The sequence below is a fragment of the Homo sapiens genome, chromosome 11, assembly GCF_000001405.40.
Source record: "Homo sapiens chromosome 11, GRCh38.p14 Primary Assembly".
NCBI lineage: Eukaryota > Metazoa > Chordata > Mammalia > Primates > Hominidae > Homo > Homo sapiens.
The window spans coordinates 107,584,299-107,611,768 of NC_000011.10; the positions used below are offsets into that span (position 1 = coordinate 107,584,299).

Genomic DNA, 27,470 nt, shown 5'->3' on the forward strand with positions numbered 1-27,470 from the left:
ACCTAGCACATAGCACTCAGCAAGTGTTAAATGAAGACAGGATGTCACAGTAATCTTCATCTTTTTCAGTTTCCATAGTAAATAAGCAGGAGAAATGTCTCCATGTATATTTTGTATATTAAAATTTACAAACCAAAAATTGAGATCTATTGTCTGAAACACAATCTGACAGTGAGAGAAAATATTTGAAATCTAGATGATCTCAGAAAATTCTGAACAGATGAATGCCCTATCCATGTGTGAGTTACATTATTCATTTATTCTTCCCTTTCTCTCTCCATCTATCCAGCCATTCACTCACCTATCTGTCCCTCATCATCCATCCATTCATCCATGACTTTATTAAAGGACACCACCAACTCACATTTTCAAAAATATGGAGGAAATTTCTTGCTTTAGACTTATGAAAATAACTGCAAAGTGGCAAGATTACCTTTCTTTGCTTTAGTACAGAATTTGTTGCTAACAGCTCATATAATATAGGATTTTATTCAAATTTATAAAAATATTTAAAAATTTTTTTTCAAAATGTAAACAAAAGGAAAAGAACACATTTTATTACTTTTTAAAATCTTTCTACCACAAGCTGGCAGATTCTAGAAAAAGAGGACTGGCCACAGTGGCTCAGGCCTGTAATCCCAGCACTTTGGGAGGGCAAGGTGGGTGGATCATTTGAGGTCAGGAGTTCAAGACCAGCTTGGACAACATGGCAAAACACCATCTCTACTAAAAAATACAAAAATTAGCTGGGCGTGGTGGTGCATGCCTGTAATCCCAGCTACTTGGGAGGCTGAGGCACAAGAATCGCTTGAACCCAGGAGGCAGAAGTTTCAGTGAGCCGAGATCGTACCATTGCACTCCAGGCTGGGTGACAAAAGTGACAGAATTCTTCAGTTTTGAGATAAAAATAAACTTCTGTTCCATAGGCACAAATAAGCCTTAGTGTTTATGTTTATTGTGAGGTAAATAGTAGAAAGATTAAGTCAAATCATACAATCCTCATGTGGGGTATAAATGTGGATTTTTTGCATTAGAAAATATTTTGGAATAAAACAACCTCACAAATTTGCCATACATACCAGAATAAGAAACTTGTTAAAATGTTGTAATGCCTAATAACTATTGTTAGAATGTATTAGTCGTGTCCTTTCAATAGTTTAATATGACCAAGCCATCTGTTTGAAATGTAATTTTGCCTGAGATTTTGTCTCTAGTTTTTTAATTCTTCTAAACTAAACGTCCAGCAGAATTCTCTTAAATAACTAGGGCCTGATTCAAAGTTTTCACTATATCCACGTTGTTTGCCAAGTACTTACTGTCTATGGACAGGTTTACCATGATAAAGAACATAACATGCAAAAACAGACCATTATTTTAATGAAGATTGTATGTGAAATCAGAATTATTTAGGCTATCTGTATATCTATTCATGAAAATACAGAACAGCTTTAAGATTTTTTATTACTGATTACTGACCCTCTTCTACACCTTCCCCTTTTTCCCCAAGTGGATAGATATTTTTTTCTCAGTGATGATATTCACCCCTTTTTTTAGGATGGAGATTTCTCCTCCCAGTGGATTAGAAAGAAGAAGCATGGCTATTTCTTTGCCATGCTGGCCACAGCCTTCTTAGCTGTATCCTCCAAGTCAATGCCATAAGTAATGGGGAGTTAGTTAGATGCTATTAAGCATATTTTAAGGCCCCTGGACATTGAATCCTTCAAACTTGACCACCAGAGGGGCCATGAGTTCTAGTTCTCAGCAGTGTTTGATGATGCCATTGGCAATGACAGCAAAATTCACTATCACACCTAAAACAATGTTGACGGTGATTTCAAACTTAGGATCAGCAATGAGCAATTTAAATGTTTAGTACACCTGAGCTTCCTCTACACTACTGCTAATATCTAAGAAGTTGGCTGGGCTTTGATCATTAAGGGTAATAACGTCTCAGAGAGCCATGTATGGCCCAGCATCACTTAGTAAGGATTCCCATCTAGTTTTAATTTTAGATCATATCTGGTTGCTTCATTTTCGATAGACACACCTTGAATTTGTTGGCCATGCCAAATATGTTTTTTGTGGACATTCTGCATTGTCCTCAAGGTTTATCATGACATCAAAATAGACAACCTATCATTCCAGAGTTTCACCAAAGGTTTCACTTCAAGCTAAGTAGCATATAATTTCAGGAAGCAGTAAAACAGCTGGTTAAGCCTGATTTTTGTAGACCTGTAGAAGCCTACATTTTCTCCCCTTTACTAAACTTGACTGTTCTCTATGCCCTCAAAATGTAAATTTCCTCCTTAAAAATAAATTCCGGTAAGAAGCTGCCACTTATAACGCCTCTCCTGGAGGCTGCCATCAGTAAAGGCCATTGCAGGATTAGCCCATTAAAACTTTATTGTGGGAACATCACACCCAGTGCCAGTTACGAAATATTCTAACTTTTACCCTGTTTTCTGACATCAGTTTCTTGCTCTTAGGTACCTGCAGGAGCAGCCATCTTTTAGATGTTAATTCAACTCCCTTGGACTTCTCTGAAAGGAGTGGGGCCTGAGCACCAGCATTCACAAAATTTTTTGACCTGCATTGTCATAGGAGAATGACACCTTAAACAAAAACCAGGCACAGAGGAGTCTGACTAGGTAACTGAGATGAGAGAAGAAGGGACCTTTTTTCCTCATTTTATTGAGATGGGTCTCACTATGTTGCCCAAGCTGGTCTCAAATTCCTGGGCTCAATTGATCCTCCCACCTCAGCCTCCCAAGTAATGGGGACTATAGGAAACAGCCACCATGCCCAGCGAGAAGGGTACTTCATACAGATTTAATTCTACATTGGAAACCAACCTTGAGAAAAAGCCTACATTGTGTGTGTGTGTGTTGGGGCAGGGAGCGGTGTGTATGCTTCTGTCCAGATCTGAGTTCCTGAAAATCATAGTGTCTTATCCAGCTTTGTATCCCCAGTATCTAGTATAGTGCCTTATATATACTAAGTGCTTAATAAATGGTTATGACATGAATTACGGTTTGGATGAGTCCTTGTGCCACTGGAAACCCTCTCGAGATCACATTTAGAGGACTGCCACAGCAGCATGTCTGAGAGTCTTAGTTTGTTTAGTTTAACGCATTCTCTAACATGATGATTAACCCTCATGTAATCTCAGTCACAATTTTATCACTATAGATATTAATGAGCATGTTGAATCCAGCTGCTGCTGTGGTTTTACGTCCAGAATACCATAAGCCTATAAAATCCATTCCATTGGAAAGCAGAGTGGCCTTACATTAATTTCTAAGCTTTACACAACAATTAGGCAAAATTAGACAAGACTTCATGCTTTTTAAGTCCAAAGATTCCCTTTCTAGTTTTATTATGAAGCCAATACATCGAAGAATACTTTCCTCCCACAGTGCTTAAGACCAGTGCTAGATTACAAATACATAAATGGGCCATGACTTCCACCCCACCCACAAAATGATCCAGGCAGGAAATTCCAACTTGCTTGTCCATTGCTCAATCTACCCTTTGCTAAAGGAAGACATTTCTAGGTGAGGACATTTATAGTCAAATAAATTCTAAATGATAATGTTCAGTAACAGATCTTCTGAGCAAGGAAATATATCCACCTGTCTGGAAAAGACTCAAATTCTGTGTCACTTGTAATGGGCCAGTATGGAGTCTAAGCTGATGACAAAGCATCTCCTAGCTCTTCCCCTTCCTCTTCAGCTCTCCGGCTGTAACTCTGGGGAGGCTGTAGAGGCACAACATTCTCCTCTCTGGATTCTTCACTCATTACCTGTAAATGCTACATCACATGATCTCAGTTTCTTCAAATACCCTCTCTGTTGACTGCATGTTAATCTGTTCAATAGGTATTTTTATCCCAAAATAATGCAGGACCCAGAGGTGGAGAAATCTGTGGATTTGTGGTGGAAGAGAAATTATGAAAAGAAAAACTGAGCCAGATCCTGGTGAAGCAATTCTAGGGTTAGCAAGAAAACCAATTAGAAAAGAACTATAGTCTAAGGAGCCACATAGAGTTGAGAACCTGCTTACATTCATTCATTCCTTTCACACTTTTCCTTGAGTATCTATTACATATTGGTCATCTGCTAAGTTCTGTAATACAAAGATGAATGAGACCCTCCCCTTGAATTACTCACATTAAACAGTGGCGAGATTGTCTCTAATTGCTATGGCATACATGTGTACAAATATGCTTTGAAGAAGTCAGTTCTAAGTGATACCAAGGCTGCCTCACACTTAGACAATAAGAGAATCAGAGAGAAAAGCTTGTCATTCAGACAGTAGGTAGATTCAAACAGAAGATGTATGACAGAGAATAACTATTGACATAAATAGAGGCCAAAGATGGTGAAAAGGTGAGAGGGTGGGAGTGGTGTGCAAGACCCTGGAAGAGACTTTTGGGATGCAGGAGATCTGGGGATCCAGGTTGATTCTGGACATTTTAGAAATGCCATTCCTAAAGGTTAGATAAAGGATATAATTTGTTGTGGAGATTAAACTCTCTAGCCCTCCCCTACCATTTTCCATTCATCACATGGGATTGCAGCTACCTACCTTGAGTGGTTTGAGTTTAGGAAAGTTTTAGCTGAGGGAATCAACTGAAAGGAGTAAAAGTCACTGGTTCAGCAACAAACTGGCAGAGATCCATGTCCATGTCATTTGTTTGGCCTAGAGCCAATATTAATATTTTTATTGATGTTTTTTGGAAGGATGAGTCAAGACTCTATAGCGTAATTTGATGGATAACACAAAGACAAAAATTAACAGAATTACTAGACTTCTGTCCTTAGTGATTATTTACAGTTTAGGTGTTTATTTTCTGTCTTTTTCAACTAGACTGTAAGTTCCATGAGGGCAGGAACTTTGTCTTGTTTGTTCTTATTTTCCTAACATGTAGAATGGCGCCTGCAAATAACAGTTGCTCAGTAAGTAGTTTTACATTGCTTGAACCACAGTGATAGGCTGTGATGAGTACTGTGATAGCAGTATGCACTGGTGCTATGAGAGCACAGCATTCACTCTGTCTTGAGGTTCAGGGTAGGCTTCAGAGAGAAGGTGACATTTGAGCTTGAAGAGTGAGTAGCACTTCATGAAATAGAATGAGAGAGAATGGTATTTCTTTTTTTTTTTTTTTTTTTTTGAGAATGGTATTTCAGAAAGGGTGGAACACCATGAATAAAGCAATGTGTTATTAAAAAAATAGTATGTTTGGGGGATAATAAAAAGTTTATCTTTTGAATTCTGATACTTAAATAGTCAACAGTATGCATGGGAAGTAAATTTCCTTCCATACAGGCATACATTACTTCATGCAATAGTTGTGAAACAAGGACCACAGGGAGATGCAAGCAAATTACGTTTAAAAGACTATGGAGTAAAATTCTTTTGTCAGGTGGATTAATCTATCCCTAATGAATCTCTCCCGAGAAGCTTTTCCCTCCAAAGGTCTATCTTTTTCCAAGACGTTTATTCAGGGAGGTATCCTTCATATCTCCCTGAAAAGAAAGAAAAGTAAATAGTGGCTAATGCTTTTAACAATGATTAAAAAAATCAGAAAGGTCAAGGCTTTAAGGTCATTTAATGTGAAGAGGAAATAAGATAAATGTTCAGCATTTAAGGATTATCACTAACCCAACTTTTCATAAACACAGAATAGTGGAGGTGGAACCTGCAGAGACTTTTATTCAGGGAACATCCACTGCGGGACAGGCAGATGCTTTGGTATCCAGGCTGCTCCGCGCCGCCAGCTGCCCAAGTAATCCTCACAACAGCCCGCAGAGGTAGGTATTAACCACCCTTTGTTTTACAGGTGAGGAAACAGAGGCACAAGACGGTCAGGTAACCGGCTTGGAGTGATGAATGAAACTAAAATAAGCGCCGACCTCGAAGCTCATTTGGTCTTTCCCCAACCCCATGCGGCCTCATTAAAGAGACTTTTTTGATTAGCTATGGAGAAAACGTTCTTCATCAAACATGAAATGCAATCCGGAAGGCACAGGTTTCTCTCTCTCTCTCTCTCTCTCTCTCTCTCTCTCTCTCTCTCTCTCTCTCTCTCTCTCTCTCTCTCTCTCTCTCTCTCTCTCTCTCTCTCTCTCTCTCTCTCTCTCTGTCTGTATGAAGTGGCTTCTGGGGCCCCACGAAGCAATGTTCCCCCAAACAGCCCCGGACGAGGGTGTCTATAATTCATCCTGTTATAATTAACCCCGGGGTTACGGTATTGCTTCTAAAGCCCTTGTTGAAATGCAGATATGGACCTCGCAGGATTGACACGATCTCTCAATTACACCTAATTAAAGAGCTGGCTCTTTGAGAATCTGACCCGACTGGGCCAGGAGTGGGAAAGGCGGGGGCTGCCGGTTGGGGTGAGGGATAGGGTTCTGCAGTCCCGGGAAGGCAGGTGAAGGGTGGGGATCAGGATTGGAAGAGTCACTGGGTGCTCGGTGAGACGAGGGAGGTTGGAGCTGAACTAAAACAAAGTTTGACTTCTGGACAATTATCCAGGGAGAGGGCGGGGAACACACCTTGCCCGGACTGTCTGGGAATCCCATTGACAGGTCATCTCAGGTTCACCATCTTCCTGTCGTGGGCTCCTCCAGGGAGGCCACCCGGGAGCAATTAAACTGGGCCACACCAGCCACCTCCCACAGCAGCGGGGTCCGCAGATTTAACCCTTTCCCCCCAGATTCCGGCACTGGGTGCCGCGCTCTCTCCCCCAGCACCGCGCCCGCGCCCCCGGCTCCCGGACTGGGCATGCTCAGTAGCCGCCCGCTTCGTGCTCCCAGGGAAGCCTCTGCACGCCCTCCCCCGCTGCTCTCGGTCGCCTCCTCGCCGCCAGCCGCCCCGGGTGCATCCCGGCTTGCTCCGCTCCACGCGACCCAGATTCCTGCCCCGCCCCCGCCCCTTCCGCGCCCGCAGCCAGTGCGGCAGCCGCGGCCGCCCCTGTCCAGCCTCGGCGCCCGGGACCGAGCGCGTCGCTCGCCGCCGCGGAGCGCGTAGCCGGAGCGCCTGGGGAAGGCGGAGATGAAGACCACGCCGCCGCGCGCCGGGAGCTGCTGAGCCTACCGCCGCCAGAGTCCAGGTGATTGGCGACCCCAGAGGAGCCTAGGGAGTAGGGGCGAATGCCCTTGGGGAGGAGAGAGGTGCGGCGAGGACGCGAGGCATCACGCAAGCTGCGCTGTGCCTGGGAGGCAGCAGAAATGCTAAGCATCGGGGGCAGAGAGGGAACGGGAATGAAAGTGCACTCTGCCTTGGTGCAGGGGCTCCGGGGTCACCCAGGACAGTGATTTCCCCTTCTATCCTGTCCTCCCAATTAACACCCGAGAGGCTGCAGGTCGGCGCGAGAGGCTGTTTGCATCTCGGCCCGGGCGTAGGTCGCCTAGCGACCTAACGCCGAGGGCTCGGGGAAGGGATCCCAGACAGAGCCAAAATGGAAGGCGGGACAAGGGCGGCCTGGCTGGGGCGAGGGGCTGGTCTGGGTCCCTGGGAACCCCTTGCCTTGTGGGCTTCGGTCTCCAGGGAGGAGCTAGGCAGCCGGGCTGCGGGGCCGCCGGACTGTGGGGTCCTCCGCGCAGCGAGCTGGGAGGAGCGGTCGGCTGGGCTGTTGAGCTGCGCCTCCTCCAACTGCTGGGAAACTCCGCACTTCAATATTGGAGCATCTCTTTCCCGGGCAGGTAGAATTGGACAGCCGAGTGGGGAGTGACAGCTGACAGCTGACGGGGCTGTTAAAAGCAGAGCAGTGGAGTGTGGTGGTGGGGTGAGCTGTTGTGGGTGCTTTTTTTTGTTTTCCAAGTGTGGGTACGGGCTGTTCTGACTCAGTGTTTATGCTCAACCTCTAAGCGGCGAGTTCGGTAACACATCTTATGAATATTTCAGGAACGACCTCACGGGCTCACTTGCTTCAGATCAAGTTTAATGAATATGTTGTCAGCCTTTCTGCTCTGCACAGTGCCCTGAGCTTTCCACATTTCATCCCTTTCCCCCACCACCTAGGAAAATACGCTGCTAACCCCCAGTGGGCCGTAGATTGGTACTATCAATTGAGTCTGTCATTTGGAGAGACCAATTTTGGGCAGGCATCCAGGCATTGTTCTGCATCTCTGCAATGTATACGTTTTGTGCCGGTGGCTTGACAACCGTCCTTAACTGGTGCTGCCAATATGGTGGAAAGCAGGTAGTATGCTTGTATTGGGATAAATGTCTTAATTCATTAACCTATTATGACAACACGTAGTTACAGCAGACTTAGTCATTCCCTCCCCCAGAAGTTTTCTCGGGGGTCAGTTTAGTTGGTATTTTGCCAAAGGCACACTCTTGTATCTACATTGGGAGGTATTTCTCTCATCTTAATCTTTTTCATAGGAAGAAGAAATAAATGTCTTCTCTGTAAGACATCACTGTCAAGAACACTGAAAGAAGAACCCATTAACGTAGGGAACGTTGAGGACTGGAACAGGTTGTAGGGCGTCTTCCTACACTTTGGGTTATAACTTCCATTGCATCACCACCATTTACCAGTAAACCAGCACACACAGCAATCAGTACTCGAAATGGTTCTCTTTTGCAGAAAAAGCCTGCTTTTCTCCCAGCTTTGGTGAGATAGATACGTAATCTTCGTAAAGACCTATAAGGAATTCCTCTGTGGAACAAAATTTTAAGCCTCCAGTACAGGATGCTGAAAGAAGCAACTCTTTAATCTTGCCAGCCCATGCACAGTGAAGCTGAAGTGCTTCAATTTACAGATGTTTTACATTTAGGGAAGGCTTTTCCAACAAAGACCTACCGCAGTTACATCACAGGCTCCACCTCCGCCTGCCAGGCTGCTTCTGCAAGGCTGTTAGTAAGGATACTATGTATTGCTGTGCTTGATTAATGAAGAAAATAAATCTCCAAATCAAAGATTTGTTTATTTCTCTTTTTGCATTCTGCTGATTTAATTGAAAATATGAAAATTTCAAAAATTAATACTTGCAGCCAGGACTTAACTGAGGCATGATAATAACTCTATAAATGTTAGCTTTCCAAGAGATCTTAAGCAAAATTACAGTATTCTTTGTAAAATCTTCGATAAATTGTATTATAAGAAAAATTCTATGAAATGGACAAAATAAGTGAAAATGTCATGTAATAAATTAAGCAGCATTTCTTAAAGCACGTTACTGAGATGTTCAGAAAGAAACCTAGTTGCATTAACAGACATGAAATCTGGATGATTGAGAAGTTTGCGGAGCTTGCATACAAATCCCCAGGTGCATTAAAGGAAGCGTTCTCCGAGTCCTCTGAGAATTTTTAACAAAGCACTGTTAGGTTTTCCAGATTTAGCAAATAAAAAGGTGGGCTGCCCAGTTAAATTTGAATTTCAGATAAACAGTGAATTATTGTTTTTACCTATGTCCCATGTAATATTTGGTACGAACTTATACTACAAAATATTATTAGTTGTTTATCCTAAATTCAGTTTCGACTGGGCAGCCTGTATTTTTCTGGCAACCTTAGTTACTGGAAATGTTTCATTCCTCCTTTTTGGGTCATTTATGGGTTGAAAAAATAAAGTGGAGCAGAAATCATATGCTGTTCTGCAGACAATCTGGGACAAGCTCAGTTCTGGTTCAAGCTTTTGAAAATAACTCATGCTTAAAAGTGAACAGTTTCACTTCAACACATATTGGTTGGGTATCTCTGCTTGCTAGGCTTAGTGGAAGGTGCCAAGGATGCAAAGATGACATGGGGAAATGGGGCAGGGGGAGGGATCTGCATCATAAGTTCTGGGAGTTGCTGTGCCAGTAGTGTGTGTTTATGGTGGTGGTGGAGGGGCGTGTCTACTGTAGGAGCCTAGAAGAGGCACTGAATTATGCTGGGCAGCTGTAGTCAGGGAGTGAGACGCCTAGCAGTTTTGACAGGGCTGGCCTTGAATAAGAGAGCGAGATCTTATCCTGGGCGAAAATGAGAAAAAAAAAAAATCTCTGTGTTAATAGTTAGTAGAGTGGTGCTGGAAGTTGAAGGATTTGATCTGATAGCCTCAGTGAGAGGACAGAGTGGCCTGCTGAGAATGAGGGAAGGGAGGGGGATTCTGAAAGAAAGATTTTAAATAGTTGCCAATGGGAATGGAAGAGAGAGCTGAAAAGGGACAAGTGCAGGAATTAGCAAATGGTACTTCGGTGAATGGACCTCAGTGCATTTAAAATAGCAATTGATCTGCTCTTGACTCATACCCTAAGTGCTAGTTTACTATTCTGTTACCATCTTGGTCTCCTCAGGTAAAAAGTTGTCATCACACAATACTGGAATATATCATTTAAATGTTTTATTACAATTATATAAAAGTAGATAATTAAATATAATATTTGAGATGCCGATCAATAGTCAGTTTCTTCTTGGCACAAATTTCTGAAATAAGATAAGCAGATGTCTTGGTTTTAGCAAATCTGTTGCTTCAAGTAGGAAAAGAAATTAAATTGAGATCATTTCTGATTTGATCCAGCTATCTTTAAAAAACTAGATTCTGATGATGGAAAGAGTGTACATTTTACAGAAATAGCACTATGTGAAAATGACTCTATGCTTGTAGTACCACAGAGGACCTAGTCAGAATGTTCCAAATGCAGTTAATTCCAAAAAACTGGCACACCACATACATGTGTGTCTTTGAAGACCCAGAAGCTACTTTCATTATTGAATAACGTGGTAAATTTCCAGGAAAGTTGATGATCAAACCACTGCAGTCCATGTAGAGAACAGTTACTCATTTCTTGAAGATTCCAATTTGCAGACTCCAGCAACTGATAATACAATGTCGTTCTAGATTGCCCTTCTGTCAATAAATCTGTTTTTTTTTTTTTGGAACCATCCTTCAGAAGAGCCTCATGTGTTTGAGTGTCCATATGTGTGGTTAAATTTCCACTTCAATTTTATAATAAGGTCTTAAAATTATAAAAATTACCCTATACTAAAACTTATAACTAAGTAGCTCATTAGGGTCTTTTTTCTCAAATGATTATCCTTTCAACAGAGCAGAAAACAGTTCTACTTCAGGTTTTTCTACTGTTCCTGTTTGCAATGTTTGCCAAACACATTCTGCCTTATAATTCTGATAGTATATGATAAAAAAATATGATCAAGAATGTATTGATGTTGCTAAAATTTCAAGGCAATTAGGCCATAGGTTTTGTTTTCAGCAAGGCTTCGCATGAACACGGCTTATTAAAGAAAGGCTTACTGCAGTAATCCTCAATGACAGTTTATGTGGAATATCACCCAGAGAGAACCTTAACTGAAATTGTGTGCCCAATTTACATTTTATATTCTAAGTCCTCAGTGGATACTCTGAATTTAAAGATTCTGAAGACAGTATGTTCTTTCATCCTGGGAGCTTTTAACCTTCCAACTCACTTATGCTGACCATGAGCAAGTCATATTTTATATCAGTTTCTATGCTGTAAAATGGAAGGTATGCAAATTAAAAAAATAATATTGTGCCAGCCCTAATCTCAGTATCTATAAAATAAACTCTTAAGTGTTTCTATGGTTCCAAGGGATGAATAACTTTATTCTCAATGAAAGTAGATGATTTGTACAATGTCTGGGTACTCTATATGATATTTAAGATGCCATCAAAATAATTCACAATTTGATTTTTTTTGCTTTTTTGGTGCAAGGCAAAATAATTGTGGCAAATGCCTAAGGAGAGCTTGTTAAGCCTTTTTAAAAAATCAGTCTCATGCAAGGCAATAACTGTAGATTCAAAAGTCTTTACATAACTTTTAAATGTTTCCATTTTAATTATTGGGATTAGGACTTGGGTAATTAGAATGCTGGTTTTAAGAGCTCATTTCAGCTGTTATAACTCTCCTTTCTATTTTTTATTTTTTTTGTGTACAAGTAGTTGGTGAAAGGCTACCATATGTTTTGAAGGTTTCATTCATAATGAAACTAATAATTTATTTATCTCACAGCTGTTTTTTGACTTAACAGATATCATCAGTGACATCAGAAACTCTGTTCCCTAAATCTTTTTTACTTTACCAGTTGGCATTATCAATATTTAAAATGTGAATTAATCAATCTTTGGAATGAATTTACTGTACATTTCTTACTTTTTCCTTTAAAAGAATAGGAATATTCCGCTCTTCAGAATTTGGAAGCCAGATTTTCTGAAGATTCCATATTCCATAAACACTGACATGTTAATTTCAGATTTCCTTTGCTTTATAATCCACTGAAATGAGCAAAAACTTAAATAATTGCTTTTAGTTGAGAAGCTCAATTGTACATTCTCTTAAAATGATAAACATTTATCAAAGCTATTTAAATTAAAATGCCTATTATGTACATCATTAGTCATAATTTTAAAAGCCTTTATTAAAATACTTTACATAGAATTTTGACTTTCATATTCTGTCTCATGGATAATGTATATGTAGCCCAATATGTGAATCCAATATATTAAAATCAAGACTTATGAAACAGATGGGTTGAGTTATAGTTTTTACTTCACTAAAGAGTTTTATGCTGTACCAAAAATTTCCTCTACTATTCCTTTAAACTGTAGATAACCTGGAATATTTAAAATAGAGGCAGAATTATCAAATTTTTATATATACACAATCCCTCTAGCACACATTTATCAGCTAGAATATTGAGTAATCTTTATGGGTGAGGGGCAGAAATGAGATCTGGAATGTAGTGTCATAGCTGGGTTGATCAGCTACATCCAAAGAATGTTCATAGGTATGGAAGCCAACATAGAAGCTGGTTTCTGTTGGTCTACCTTACAGCTCTTTATTTGACCATGACATTTCTACAATTTTATCAAGGACTCAGATGTACATAGATCATAATGCAAAGCTCAAAGCAATAGAGAATTTGGATGACAATCAGGATTAAATTTGAAATCTCTTAGCCCAGAACAAGCACTGGAACTAAGATTATATTTTAAAAGGATGGATGTGAAGTTCATTTAGGTTCTAAAATCACTTGCTAAGGACATAGTGTAGAAGTCCTAGTTTACCAACAGTTTGGTTTTCAAAAAATAGTTTTAGTTCACTTGAGCGTTAGCAAGCAGTACAGAAGAAATTAATGCTATACTTTGGTTGGATTCACAGATAAATAGAGCCCAGATCTAAGAAGGTCAGAAACAAAAAATATAACATACTGTACTGAAAGTGATGCATTTTGGGCCACCTATCAAAGAGAGAGAATGCTTTTATTGGGTAGGATGTTGATTCTGATGACCTTAAAAACACCTCCTAAATCTTATCCTGCAGTTTAAATTGAGCTCCCAGGCACTTATCCACGAATCTGCCAATGTCTAATTCAGCTTAGTAGCATATATGTGATAGATAACTATTGTACATCATTTCTTTGACTTATAATGAATGTATGATTTTATTCTTTTCCATGTGTTAGTTATTCCCTAGGTAATTAATCAATCTAACTAAAAATAGGTGCATCTGCTCTGTAACTAGCACTAGGTTAAATTAAAGAGCCTGTTTCCAGGTATTCTTTAATAATCTAAGATCATATTTGAAATTCTAGTTCAAAATGATGATATGTATTTTGAGTAGCCATAAAATAGGCTTGTGTCCAAGTCCTAAAAATAAAATTGCACAGCACACCTAATCAAATTAGACAACGATGGAAGATGAACATGTGTTTGTTCTGAGTGTACTCTACGTGTACTCTGTCATTACTCTGCATTGTGTTTTGACTTTTCAAAGTATTTGTTTATAGCATACAGTGGACAACTGTCATTCTTTTTCAACAATGCCATCTGAATCTCTTTTCCATGTTGAGGGTTGTATTAGTGAAGGTTCTCCAGAAAAAAGGAGATATATTTATATTAAGAGACTTATTATGAGGAATTGGCTTACTTGACTATGGAGGCTGAGAAGTCCTACAATCTGCTGTCTGCAAACTAGAGACCCAGGAAATCTGGTGGTGTAATTCCAGTCCAAGGGCAAGAAAAGACTAATGGCCCAGCTTAGCAAGCAAGCAGGAGGCAAAAGCGGGTGAATTCTTCTTTCTTCTGCCTTTTTGTTCTATTCAGGCCCTCGATGGCTTGACAATGCCCACCCACACTGGGAAGGGGAAATGACTTACTGAGGCCACCAATTCAAATGCTTATCTCATTCAGAAACACCCTCATAGGTGCACCCAGAAATAATGTTTAATCTGGGCACTCTTTGATCAGTCAAGGAGACACAGAGAATTCACCATCACAGGGGCTCTCTTACATGATGAGGCAGAGCCCACTCCCCACTCTAGGAGATGAAAGTGCCAGATGGTTCCTTTCCCCAAACCTCCTTGCACCTGGGCCTGGGCCCATGATCCAAACTCTGCCCCAGTGGCAGATTTTCCAGTTGGCAGTGCCCCTTGACCAGTGCTGGAGCGTCAGTGGGGCCACTCCAGTCTGTGCCTGGTGGTGGCAGTAGAGGTGTCTTTACTGGGCCAGTTCTGTGTCAGCATTTCAAGTGTTATTTTTGGCTACATAGCCTCCATACCCAGTTCTCTAGCCCACCTGGAGATTTTGTGAGTTGCCTTCAGAACAAATTCCATTTCTGCTTAAGTTGGCAGAGCTAGATTCTGTTTCTTGCAGTGATAAACAGGGTGCGAGTCCATTTTTACGTGGGACCTATTGAGCACACAACACTGAGAAAGGCACAAAAGGAAATGCTTTTTCATTCTCTGAGTATTTATGGAATAAGGGATCTTGCTTGGCATTGGCCAGAAGGAAAGACATACAAAGCTGGTATTTTCGAACTAGTGCTATGAGGACAAGTAGGAGGAGGTGGGGATACTACTGGCAAACTTAAAGGGAGGGTAGATGTAATTCCATGGCTATGCTAATTTTAAAAATTGATTTAGTACAGAGATGAAGTGTTGGGATAAGAAAGGATACTTTTCAGGAAAATAAATACTGCATTTCATCCATTCCAAGAGAAAATTTTTTTCCTTCATTTTAACATTTATGAAATTAGGAAGCATTGTTAGAGTGTGCCATGTTTTAATTGTTACTTTTTTCTGCTCAACTCGTCTACCATATTTTACTGAATCTAAAATGTCATTGACTTATACTATTATATTTTATACCTCTAAAGAAAAAGCTCAATAAATAATTATTTTAAAGGTGCTTCTGCCAGGTGCGGTGGCTCACACCTGTAATCCCTGCACTTTGGGAGGCTGAGGCAGGTGGATCACTTGAGGCCAGGAGTTCAAGACCTGCCTGGCCAACATGGTGAAACCTGATCTCTACTACAAATACAAAAATTAGCCTGGTATGGTGGCATGTGCCTGTAATCCCAGCTACTTGGGAGGCTGAGGTGAGAGAATCACTTGAACCCAGGAGGCAGAGGTTACAATGAGCCAAGATTGTGGCACTGCACTCCAGCCAGGGCGACAGAGCGAGACCTGTCTCAAAAAAAAAAAGAAAAAAAGAAAAGAAAAAAAAAAAAAACTGTATCCTAACAGCATACTGGGGACTCTCCAGACTAGAGGATTCAAAAAGACCCTAAGAGAACTAAGTCAGTTATAGAAATAATATGGGTTAGATACCAAATTCCTTTTCATTGTTGTTTCATAGTCTTCCAAAGCTATTAAAGAGCAACAGATTTACCTCTAACTTCTGTTATAAACCAATTCAGGTGCTAATTATTATAGACTTTCTTGGCTGTAAAAAAAATACCTAGCATACCTGTGATGATTCTCAATTATGTGGATGGCACCTTTTTTTTTAAATTTCATATACATCTAGAAGTACATAAGATAGTGTGAATCCCAGTAATTAAAAATCATCAAATCATGACCAATGCTGTTTGATCTCTAACCCTACCCTCTATCCATCCATATTATTTTGAAGCAAATCCCAGATACCATATGATTTCATTTATAAATACTTCAGTATGTATCTCTAAAAGAAAATGACTTTACAAAAATATACCCCTGGAAAAAAATTTATAATTTGTGGCATCTTTTTTTAGTAAATAAATTTTTTTAATTTAAGTTTTAAGCTACTTTAGTCTTTGAAGGTTTTTTAAAAAACAGTAACAACAACAAATTAGGTCCACTTCAATGTCCACTGATGTCTTTTTTATGAAATGTGTATGATGCTAACACGTCATATCACAGTTCTGCAACAATATCTCTTCTGATTTTTCATCCTGCAGCTTTCTTTTGAATATATGCTCTAGCTGAGGATTTGTGTAAAAAATATTCTTACCATTTTCAATGCGGTGTTCAGAAAAGCCATATCTGACCCTTAATTATTTTTGGTCCTAAACGAAGGATTCATAATACCGTATCAAATGATTTGGACGTTCTGTTAGCTAATGAGCATACATCACGTTGAACCATGTCAACATTTGTTTACTCAAGCTCTTCCACATTCCTATTAAATATTTCCCACCCATCTTCATCTAATGTCAAAGCCAACACACACATCTGTAATGTGTGGCCTGATGGATACTGTCCTAGAATGGCTTAGGTTTTGGGAATTCCTCTACTTGTTGGAGGCAATGCTCTGGTTCCTCAAGCCTTAGTTTCTTCTTCTTCTTCTTCTTTTTTTTTTTTTAAAGTGTGGTTTAAGTCAAGGTTTAAAGGCACTGGATCTCAAGACGTGACTGGTGCCTCCATGTGGGCTAAAATCACAGCCCCATGGAATCTTCTTAAAATGTAAGTTTTTGTGTATATCAAAGGAACACTTACACATCATTTAAAACATTGTATTGCTACAAGACTTATAATGGAAAAACTCATTCCCTAATCTGTCTTTACTCCAGATTTGTCTTTCTCAGGAATACCATTTTAATTCTTTTAACTGTTTATACTGCTGTTTCTTAGTATATTAAAAGTATCAGATTTATTGATTTTCCACTACAGAAGTGAAAATTTAACTTTCATATCTAATCCCTCTCTCTTATACATGTTTCTCCTTTCTCAATTCTCCCAATATCACTATTTTTGATTAAATATTCAACATTTATTTTGACAGTGTAAATTTTATTTATAGCTTTTTTTTTGCACAACTTTTTGTTTTCTCAAGAATTAGTAATTCTAATTTTTTCTTATTTTCTATTAATGTCTATTAATTTTTTCTTTTTTTTTTTTTTTTTGAGACAGAGTCTCACTCTGTCGCCCAGGCTGGAGTGCAGTGGCATGATCTTGGCTTACTGCAACCTCTGTCTCCTAAGTTCAAGCAATTCTCCTGCCTCAGCCTCCCGAGTAGCTGGGATTACAGGCACGTGCCACCATGCCTGGCTAATTTTTGTATTTTTAGTATAGATGGGGTTTTGCCACGTTGCCCAATCTAGTCTTGAACTTCTGGGCTCAAACGATCCACCTGCCTCGGCCTCCCAAACTGCTGGGATTACAGGTGTGAGCCATCAAGCCCAGCCTATTAATCTTATTTTCTATTAATTTTTTTATTATCTATTAATGAATATCCCAAATTTATCCCCAAACCAACAGAGTTGTGAATATTTTCTGTATACATTCATATATGTCAAATAATCTGTCAGTTCCAGTTTTTTTTTGAAGACATCTTTTCTTAAGCTCTAATGCACTCTGAACTGGTTAGATTGTTGTTAAAGGCCTTACATTTGCCATCATTCTAAGAAATCCTTTCACCTTTCTCCAGTATGGGATTTTCTGATTCCTGGGTCCAATGTCTTTCTCACTCTCCATCTCCATTTTGGTGGAAAGCTTTCTTTGGAAGCTTCCAGAAAAGGCATACTTGAAAGATACATGGAAGGTCTTGTATGTCTGAAATTGTCTTCATTTTCTCCTCATGCTGAATATTTTGGCTAAGTGTAGAAATGTAGATTAGAAAGAATTTTTTCTTGGAATTTTTCTTTTTGCTTCTGTGTTCCTGTTGACAAAATGAATGCTCCTGAAGACTTGATGCTTTCTATGTGAGCTGTTTTGTTTTTGTTCCCCCTCTGGAAACTTTCTTGTGAAATTTCATCATAATATGCTTTGGTGAGGATCTTTTGTTATTCAAGGAGCTGGGTACCCTGTGGGTCTTTTTGATCCGGAGACTCATGTTCTTCAGCTCTTGGAGAGTTTCCTGTATTATTTCTTTGATAATTTCTTCACCAACATTCTCGCTTTTCTTTCTCTCTAGAATATCTGTTACTTGGATGTTGAACCTTTTTCTCACCATTTTTCATCTTTTTGTTAAATTCTTCTGGCAGATTCCCTCAAATTTGATAGATATTTTCAACTTTGTCTTTCATTTCAGACACTTTTATAAAATTTCCAAGAACATTTTCTAATTCTCTTAAAGTTCCCTTTTATTGATTCCTGTTCCTATTTAATGAGTATAATATTTTTCTTTTATCTATGAAAATTATGATGTTTTAATAGTTTTCTTGTCTTTGCATTGTTTCTTGTTCTTTCAGATTCCCTTTTTTTTTTTTCCTCCTTCTTTGCTTTGGGTCTCTGTAATTCATGTCAGAAACGTCCCTTAGTTGTCTGATAACCCTTGGCTATCTGCTCATATTTAAGATTGAGGCACTAAAATGTTCTCTGTGCACAGGTGGGGCTTGTTGACCATCTTTCACAGTAGTCCAGTTGGGGGCTAATGCTTCTTTGGGGGAGAGCTATATGTGTCTCTGGTTAGTTTCCTGAGAGATAACTCCTCTAATATCCTACCTGAGGAGTATTATCCTGGCTGCCTCTGTTCTGGGAGTTGAGTGGGAGAAGAAGGATGGCAGGGATCTCACATTTACCAAGTAGATTTTCATGCAACCTCCTTGTATTTAAAATATCAACTCAATCTCATTTTCCTCCATCACCAAGTTCAGAGCCTCTCTAGCTCAACCTCTTTACAAGTAAATTTCATCTCTGCTGATAGAATGGAGAGGGGTTATGCCTAATTTCAAAAGATGGAGAAGGAGACATAGGTCCTAACTACTCCTATGAAAACTTTCAACCAGGCTGGGCACAGTGGCTCACGCCTGTGATCCCAACACTTTGGGAGGCCAAGGTGGGCACATCGCTTGGGCTCAGGAGTTCGAGACTAGCCTGGCCAACATGGCAAAACCACATCTCTACTAAAAATACAAAAAATAGCTGTGCGTGGTGGTGCATACCTGCAGTCCCAGCTACTAGGGAGGCTGAGGTGGGAGGATCGCTTAAACCCAGGCGGTGGAGGTTGCAGTGAGCCAAGATCATGCCACTGCACTCCAGCCTGGGCGATAGAGCGAGACCCTGTATTTAAAAAACAAAACCAACAACAACAACAACAAAACCTTTCAACCAAGCCTCTATTTTGGGCTTCTTACACTCCCACTTTTAGAGGAACTGGGCACCTCTAACTCCTGAACATGGCTGAGATTCTCACTCAGGAGTTCGAGACCAGCCTGGCCAACATGGCCAAAACCCGTCTCTACTAAAAATACAAAAATTAGCTGAGCATGGTGGCACATGCCTCGTGATCCCAGCTACTCGGGAGGCTGAGGCAGGAGAATTGCTTGAACCTGGGAGGCAGAGGTTGCAGTGAACCAAGATTGCACCACTGCACTCCAGCCTGGGTGACAAAGCTAGACCTTGTCTAAAAAAAAAAAAAGGAATTAAAGATTAAAAAAAAACAGTGTTAAATACATCAGCAATGTTGATTGTGAGATAGCTGGAAAACCAGGAGAACATGAGATCACAGAAGCCACAAAAAGGGCCTTTTAAGAAGCAGCTTTGCATGCGTTAGAAGCTGAATGAGACAGGACAGGAAAATGGAGCTTGGAGTAGAGCATACGCTGCCTTCAACCAAGCATGTACTTACTCACCCACCCTTTGTGTCGAGGTAAGAAGTGCTAATCACTCCAGACATGTTTATGATCTGAGCTGTCTTCATGTTTTCTTTGTGTTAAAAGAAAGTTATCTTACAGTGTATGTATGGATACATACACTGGAGGGACTGTGATAGGGCAAGGGAACCAGGGCTCAGAGACTGTGGAGTAAGAGTGTTGGGAGGCTCTTCAGTGAGGCTAAGAAGGATATGAGTTGCTCTATCAACAACATATAACATATTCTGGAATTACTTAACCTGGCTTAACTTGAATAAAAATGTCAGAGTCAGGAAATGAGAGTCCTATAGTGTGATTTGCTGCAGGTCATTAGTACTCATTTTCACCAACCGATAAATTCTTATGCAGAAGCATCACAGCCCGGAATTTGGAAGTAAGTAGGCTTCAGTCTTGCTATGTTTCATTGATTCTAAGATACTTTTTTCCCCCACATCACTAAAATTAGATGAATTGTAGTTTAATTGGCAGCATTTTGTTTTTCCTTAAGGGCACATAAAATAATGGTGAATTCTACCATTGATGGCACTGATGAAATACCATTGAAAAGAATAAAATAATATTCACTCAGCAAACATCTGTCAAGCCATGCATAATTATAGCTCTAAAGTGTGTTAAAAACTACTTTTTTGCTTTACCTTATGAATTGTTGCAGACGCCCAGTCTAAATGGTCGAATTCCTTTAAATGAATGCTATTACCTCTTCTGCACAGTCAGGGTTAGCATTGCCTTAAGAGCAGAGTACCCTGCTTGCCTCCAAGCTGCTGGAAATGCCCCAATTTGCCTGAACTTTCCTGTCAGATGTTTCTAGATAAATGTTTTCACTATGTTCTGATTGTATAAAAGCAAACATTTTGCCAAAAGCATCAGATTATATTGGCAAAATTATGTCCATTTAATTTTTATGCAAACATAAGTTTATTATTTTATCATGGTTTTATTGTGAAATTTAAACTAAAATATAACATTGAGAATTTACAAAATTCAGATGATTTTGGGGGCAAAACAGATAAATATATGTATTTTAAAATCTCCTTATTCTTTTGTAGCTGAGAGATGAATTTTCTTTCTTTTTTTTTTTTTTTTTTTCTTTTTGAGACAGGAGCTCCCTCCAGTGTCCCAGGCTGGAGTGCAGTGGCGCAATCTTGACCCGCTGCAGCCTTGACATATTGGGCTCAGGTGATTCTCCCAACTCAGCCTCCCTAGTAGCTGGGACTACAGGCGCATGCCACCATGCCTGGCTAAGTTTTTGTACTTTTAGTAGAGATGGGTTTTCACCATGTTGCCCAGGCTGGTCTTGAACTCCTGACCTCAAGTGATCCGCCCACCTCAGCCTTCAAAAGTGCTGGGATTATGGGCATAAGCCAGGGCGCCCAGCCTTGAGAGATGAATTTCATCAATCCTGCATCCTCCCATTTTGCTGCCTCCATGAAAACAGTGCGTAAGATGTAGGCAACCGCAGTGAAATTCAGAAAGACACTGACTTTGAAACAGATCATAAATACATTTGCAGGCAGCCCTGAATTCTGTGGCTGGGATGGACCTCCCTTGCTATAAATCATAAAAATTAACTCTGGATGAGTGTTTTATTCATGAGGGGAAAAAACCTTCTTTGTTGTCATTTTAATGAGTGTCAGCAGTGTTTTTCAGGCTAGTCACTGGGAGAGGAAAGGAAAATTCTGGAATGTGGCCTCAGGGAGATCTTTATGCACAAGCATTGTACCTCTAATATGAGATGCAGCATAGCCTGTGTGAAATGTAAATGGATAATTTGAAAGATTTTTCATTTGTATGTGATGGTAATTTTTCGTGTCGCTTCTTTCTCTCCTCATGTGCATAGCTGTATAAAGTCAAAAAATTGCATTTTATTCATGCTTCAAATGCTCAAAAATAACCTTAGAAAATTTTCTTTTTCTTTTCTTTCCTTCTCTTTCTTTCCTTGCCCGTTCCTTCTCTCCTCTCTCATTTTGTTTCATGTAGTAGAGTCTTACTGAATTATATCCTTTGAAATCCATGAGTCCCTCACCTGTCTAGGTCTTCCTTGCATAGGCATAGTGCTTCTTAGGCTCTAACGACATATGAAGCAGGATGCAAACTTAGCCATTATCTCAATTTGCTAATTCAAACCTAAGTGAATCTGATACTTGGCCCATCTGATTTCAGAAGACTGACCCCTTGTGTTTGTGGGTTGGCTCAGCGGGAACCCAGCTCCTCACATGGCAGGTGGCTTACCATCTACTCATCTACAAACCATCTGTGCTCTTGCCTGATGTTCCCTCAGAGACGTGCTTCTGCTAGGAGGGCAGGCTTATTTTGGAGAACTTTTTCTGATTTCTTGAAAACCATCCACAGACATGCATATGTGCAGAACATAATAAAGAATTAATGGGAGCTGTGACAGGAATTAATTACATCTTAAAACTACATTGGCGGCAGAGCGCGGTGGCTCATGCCTATAATCCCAGCATTTTGGGAGGCCAAAGCGGGTGGATCGCTTGAGGTCAGGAGTTCAAGACCAGCCTGGCCAACATGGTGAAACCGCGTCTCTACTAAAAATACAAAAATTAGCCGGGTGTGGTGGCGTGCGCCTGTAATCCCAGCTACTCGGGAGGCTGAGGCAGGAAAATTGCTTGAACCCAGGAGGCGGAGATTGCACCGCTGCACTCCAGCCTGGGTGATAAAGCAAGACTCTGTCTCAAAAAAAAAAACCTACATCGGTTTCAGTTACCTGTTAGTTTTGGCCTTTTTCTACTTTTTCAGTTGCCTTTTTAACAAAGAGAGTAAATTTCAAGTGTCTCACCACAAAAAATGTAATGAGATGATAGATATGTTAATTAGCTTGATTTAATCTCTCCACTTTCCATATACATACATACTAATCATAGTGTGATACAATTATGATTTGTCAATTAAAAATCATATAAATACAGAATAGCGTCCTTTCTCCTCCATTTTACCTCACCCAGACAATAGCCATCACTGAAGAAGGGGTGGAAAAAGAGAAGCCTGTATCTGTTTCTGTTTGATTCCAAAATCTCCACTTGATGGGCTGATTGAGGGATGTCACTATTTTGATTTCATCAGACTCTAGAAGGGCCACATGTACATACTGTCAGACCATTCAAGAGAGAAACTAAAATTTTTCACATACATTAAAGAGAATTTACTAGTAGTTTTTAATTGTCATTGAAACTTTCTCAATTACTTTTAGAAAAGCTTTAAAGTGACACAATATAATAAAGAAATAGGGCAGGCCAGGTGCAGTGGCTCATGCCTGTAATTCCAGCACTTTGGGAGGCTGAGGCAGGCGGATCACTTTAGCTCAGGAGTTCAAGACCAGCCTGGGCAACATTGTGAGACCCCTGTTTCTACAAAAAAATACAAAAAATAGCCAGGCATGGTGGCATGCACTTGTAGTCCCAGCTACTTGGGAACCTGAAGTGGGAGGATCGCTTGAGCCTGGGGGTCCAGGCCACAGTGAGCTGTGATTGCACCACTGCACTCCAGCCTGGGCGCCAGAGTGAGAACCTGTCTAAAACAAACAAACAAACAAACAAACAAACAAGATATAGGACAAATGGTATTGAACCAAACTCGCTACAGGCTTCCTTCTGATACCCAGATCAGCTTTGGATCAATCTTATTTTTAGGAGAGAAAACTACAAACATTATTATTTATGAGTCTGTGATTCTACATGTCATTCTTTTCTTTCTTCTTTCACCTGAAATGAGAATAGCGCAAACTGAGGAAATTAATCAGTGGCAAATAATTTAGATATTACTGATCTTGAATGTATCATTGGCAAAGTCAAATTGTGTGTGAACTCCCGGCTCCCCCACAACCTTATTGTTAAATGGAATTTTTTTGTTTGTTTTGTTTTGTTTTTCATTAGTGCTAAAAAAAAAAAAAAAGAAAAAAAAAAGAAAAAAAAACTTTGCCTAAACTTTCTGTTTTTTATCTAAATCTAGGAGAGTGGAACATGGAACATGTTTTCATATTCTAGTTATTACTAATTACAGTAATTGTGTTTTGAGGGTGACCCTTGTGATTGATTTTTTTCTCCTACTGGTGTTATGGCATGAAAAGAAAACAAGAAGAGGCAATTAGGGAAACCTAAAGGACCATGGAACTTCTTCTGCTTTCCAGTAAATTCAAGAACTCACTCAAGTTAGTATATATCTCCTAGGTGATTTGAAATATTTTACCAGCCACTAGATATATTTTATGTATCTTTAAAAAAAAACATATTTTCACCTGTAAAGGGAAAGGTGTGATGTATTACGAAGACTTAAGCATGCAGAGGTAGACTGAACTGAAGAAAAAAGCTGAAGACTGAAGAACGAAATCACCACATAAGTTACAGTGTGGACCGGAAGCTTGAATTTCACTGGATTTTCTAAACCCAAGGTTTAGAAAGCCTTGATTTACATTTTGGGTGGGGGATATTTTTACTTTTAGTTATTTCAGAATTATACTGCCAACAGTTTTTATTGCCTTGGAAATGAAGCCTCAGTAAAGAATAATATAAAACTCATGTATTTTCGCTCCATTGTATAATTTCTTCCCATAAAATTTTCTGGTTTAGAAACTTCTAGATCTGTAATACATTTGCTTCAGGAAAGGAGAGAGTTTATTTTTCAGTGGCAGGGTAACTGTTTTTATATGGGAGTCCTCCAGGTAGCTCCCAGAGGAACACTGTTATTCAGATGCGTATGTACATCCTGGCTTTGATTATCCCTAGCTTTGCAGTTTAGTTTGAAATGAATATACTGTGTATTCTCTTTATTCTCATGTCAATCCAGAGGTTTACCTTTGATTTCCAGAGGGAGCACAGGAAAGTGATTAATAGCACTACCTCGGGAGCCAAGCTGAAAGGGTTTGAATCTCTGCCACATCCTATTTGTGTGACCTTGGAAGGTTCCTTACCCTCTCTGTGTTTCAATTTCCTCAGCTGCAAAATGGAGATAATTGTTATTGTTCACTTCATAAGATGACAGTTAAGATTAAGTGAGTTAATACTAGTAAAGCTTACAGCATATTGCCTGGCACATAATAAGTACTTTGTGAATATTTGCTATTATCATTAATTTTATAAAACTTTAAGCTAAGACTTAACTTTTAAAATAAAATTTTGTTTATAAATGTGCTGTCTACAACTTTTTATTAAACTGGGGTAATCTCAAATTAGGAAGATTATAAAAATGAAATAGTATTTACTTTGTAGATTACCTTTTATTTATGTATAAACAGTATGAGTCCACCAGCCTTTTGGTTGTTACAGGGGATAAACTTGGAATGTGAAGAGCTACGCAGAAAGTAGCTTTCTTTGTCTCATCTAGGGATTTCAAGATTTTAAAGAAAGGAGTTCCGTCCCTTCTAGTTGAGTCTCTAATTCATTCCCTGGGGTGCTTAATAGAGAGATCGACTTCTAAGAGTTAGGGTTACCCCGTAGCACTTTACAAAGAGCCTCAGGGGGCTTCTTGCTCAAAGGAAGCAAGGCTGGTTTCTTGATGCCGGGCGAGAGGATGAGTTTTCAGAAGTAGCAGACCACACTCATTACTGCCCCTTTTCTCTCAGCTGGAAAAGAAAAAAAGACAAGAGGCAGATAACCTCATAGCTTAGCACTGAAGTATCAACTGATCTCTAGGGGCGTTTGATATGACAAGCACAATCATTTGATCCTTCCCTTTGGATGAGTTCAGGCCAATGTCCCTGTATACATTGAGAAAAATTACTACAAATCAGGGGAACAGGTTAGTAAACCCAGGATTATAATCATATTCTTTATTTTAGTTAAAAATAAATCTACAGATTTGTTTTCTTCCAATTGGGAGATTTGCAGTTTGTTTTATTAGTACTGTGATTGAGTAATGCTGGTAAAAAAGTACTTTTCTAAAAAAGTACAAAGTTCATTTTGACAAGTATATATTAAGCAAGCAGTGTGTCAGGCATTGTACCCGTCCATGGGTGTCCTAGAAAAGCATACAGTCCAGAGCAGAAGGAGACATGAAACAGATAATTTTGGAACAATATTAGCGATTTATTAGTAACACAGAGCAGGTAATTCTAATGTCTCGCTTGAAAAACACCTCTAGAGAGGAAGTCTTTGGGAAGGTTCAGCACAGAGAATGATTTTTATGTTCATCTTGATTTTTGTGAAGCAGGTGGCATTAAAGTTTATGTATGAACAAAAAGGGTGAATTTTTCTATATGTAACTAATAACTGAGTAAAGCTGAATTACACAAATAAAACGTCAATATCTGGGCCAGGCCTGGTGGTAAAGTGATCACAGTACTTTGGGAGGCCAAGGTGGGCAGATCACTTGAGGCCGGGAGTTCGAGACCAGCCTGGCCAACATGTCAAAACCCCGTCTGTACTAAAAATACAAAAATTAGCTGTGTGTGGTGGTGTATGCCTGTAATCTGAGCTACTCGGGAGGCTGAGACACAGAATTGCTTGAAACCGGGAGGCAGAGGTTGCAGTGAGCCAAGATTGTGCCACTGCACTCCACCCTGGGTGACAGGGTGAGATCCTATCTAAAAAAAAAAAAAAAAAAAGTAAATATCTGTATTTTTCAATTAATGAAACAGGTATAAACCAGGCTTACATGTAACCATATTGAAGTCAACAGGCTGATGTGTAAAAACACAGGAGAAGTGTATCATGGCCGCCTCATTGTTAGAATGCTATGCAGAAGAAGAGTGAACTTAAATTCTTCCTATCCTGAAAGGGCTCTGTATTCCATAAATGATGCTGGGATAGCATGCTAGCCATATGCAGAAGAATGGAATTGGAACCCAACCTATCACTATCTACAAAAATTAACTCAAGATGGATTAAAGATTTAAATGTAAAACCTCAAACTGTAAGAATCCAAAAAAAAAAAAAAAAAAAGAAAACCTAGGGAACATCATTCTGGATATCAGCCTTGGGAAAGAATTTATGACTAAGTCTTCAAAAGCAATTGCAACAAAAAACAAAAATTGATATGTGGGACTTAATTAAAGAGCTTCTACACAGCAAAAGAAACTATCAACAGAGTAAACAGACAACTGACAGAATGGGAGAAAATATTCACAAACTATGCATCTGACAAGGGTCTAAAACCAGGCTTAATTAAACTAAAGAACTTCTGCATGGCAAAAGAAATTATTGACAAAGTAAACAGACAACAGACAGAATGGGAGAAAATAGTCACAAACTATGCATCTGACAAGGATCTAAAACCAGCATCTATAAGGAACTTGAACAATTCAACATCCAAAAAACAAATCACCTCATTAAAAAGTGGCCAAGGCTGGGTGTGGTGGCTCATGTCTGGATTCCCAGCACTTTGGGAGGCCGAGGTGGGCGGATCACAAGGTCAGGAGATCGAGACCATCCTGGCTAACACGGTGAAACCTCATCTCTACTAAAAATATTTTTTAAAAAATTAGCCGGTCGTGGTGGCAGGTGCCTGTAGTCCCAGCTACTCTGGAGGCTGAAGCAGGAGAATGGCGTGAACCTGGGAGGTGGAGCTTGCAGTGAGCATAGATCAAGCCACTGCACTCCATCTTGGGCAACAGAGCCAGACTCCATCTCAAAAAAAAAAAAAAAAAAAAAAAAGTGGGCAAAAGACACGAACAGACACTTCTCAATAGAAGAC

At 39.7% G+C, this 27,470-nt stretch overlaps 1 protein-coding gene and 2 pseudogenes across 3 annotated transcripts in view, besides 3 other annotated features; 1 reads left to right on the forward strand and 2 right to left on the reverse strand.

The window, feature by feature from the left end:
- SUCLG2P3 (SUCLG2 pseudogene 3) lies at positions 1,602-2,400 on the reverse strand (annotated as a pseudogene).
- Positions 6,732-6,841: a silencer, noted in NCBI's record as "silent region_3870". NCBI's record gives its function as "represses an Ori minimal core promoter by ATAC-STARR-seq in GM12878 lymphoblastoid cells {active_cell/tissue: GM12878}" and the evidence as "EXISTENCE:reporter gene assay evidence [ECO:0000049][PMID:35858748]".
- The window catches only part of ELMOD1 (ELMO domain containing 1), a 75,633-nt gene continuing 55,011 nt past the window's right edge, over positions 6,849-27,470 (forward strand). For all 3 annotated transcript variants that reach the window (NM_001308018.2, NM_018712.4, NM_001130037.2), the window contains exon 1: positions 6,849-7,111. The gene's annotated coding sequence lies outside the window, so the exon portion shown is untranslated. The remainder of the gene's footprint in view (positions 7,112-27,470) is intronic.
- Positions 6,902-7,041: a silencer, noted in NCBI's record as "silent region_3871". NCBI's record gives its function as "represses an Ori minimal core promoter by ATAC-STARR-seq in GM12878 lymphoblastoid cells {active_cell/tissue: GM12878}" and the evidence as "EXISTENCE:reporter gene assay evidence [ECO:0000049][PMID:35858748]".
- Positions 7,292-7,351: an enhancer, noted in NCBI's record as "active region_5472". NCBI's record gives its function as "activates an Ori minimal core promoter by ATAC-STARR-seq in GM12878 lymphoblastoid cells {active_cell/tissue: GM12878}" and the evidence as "EXISTENCE:reporter gene assay evidence [ECO:0000049][PMID:35858748]".
- METTL5P4 (METTL5 pseudogene 4) lies at positions 16,081-16,570 on the reverse strand (annotated as a pseudogene).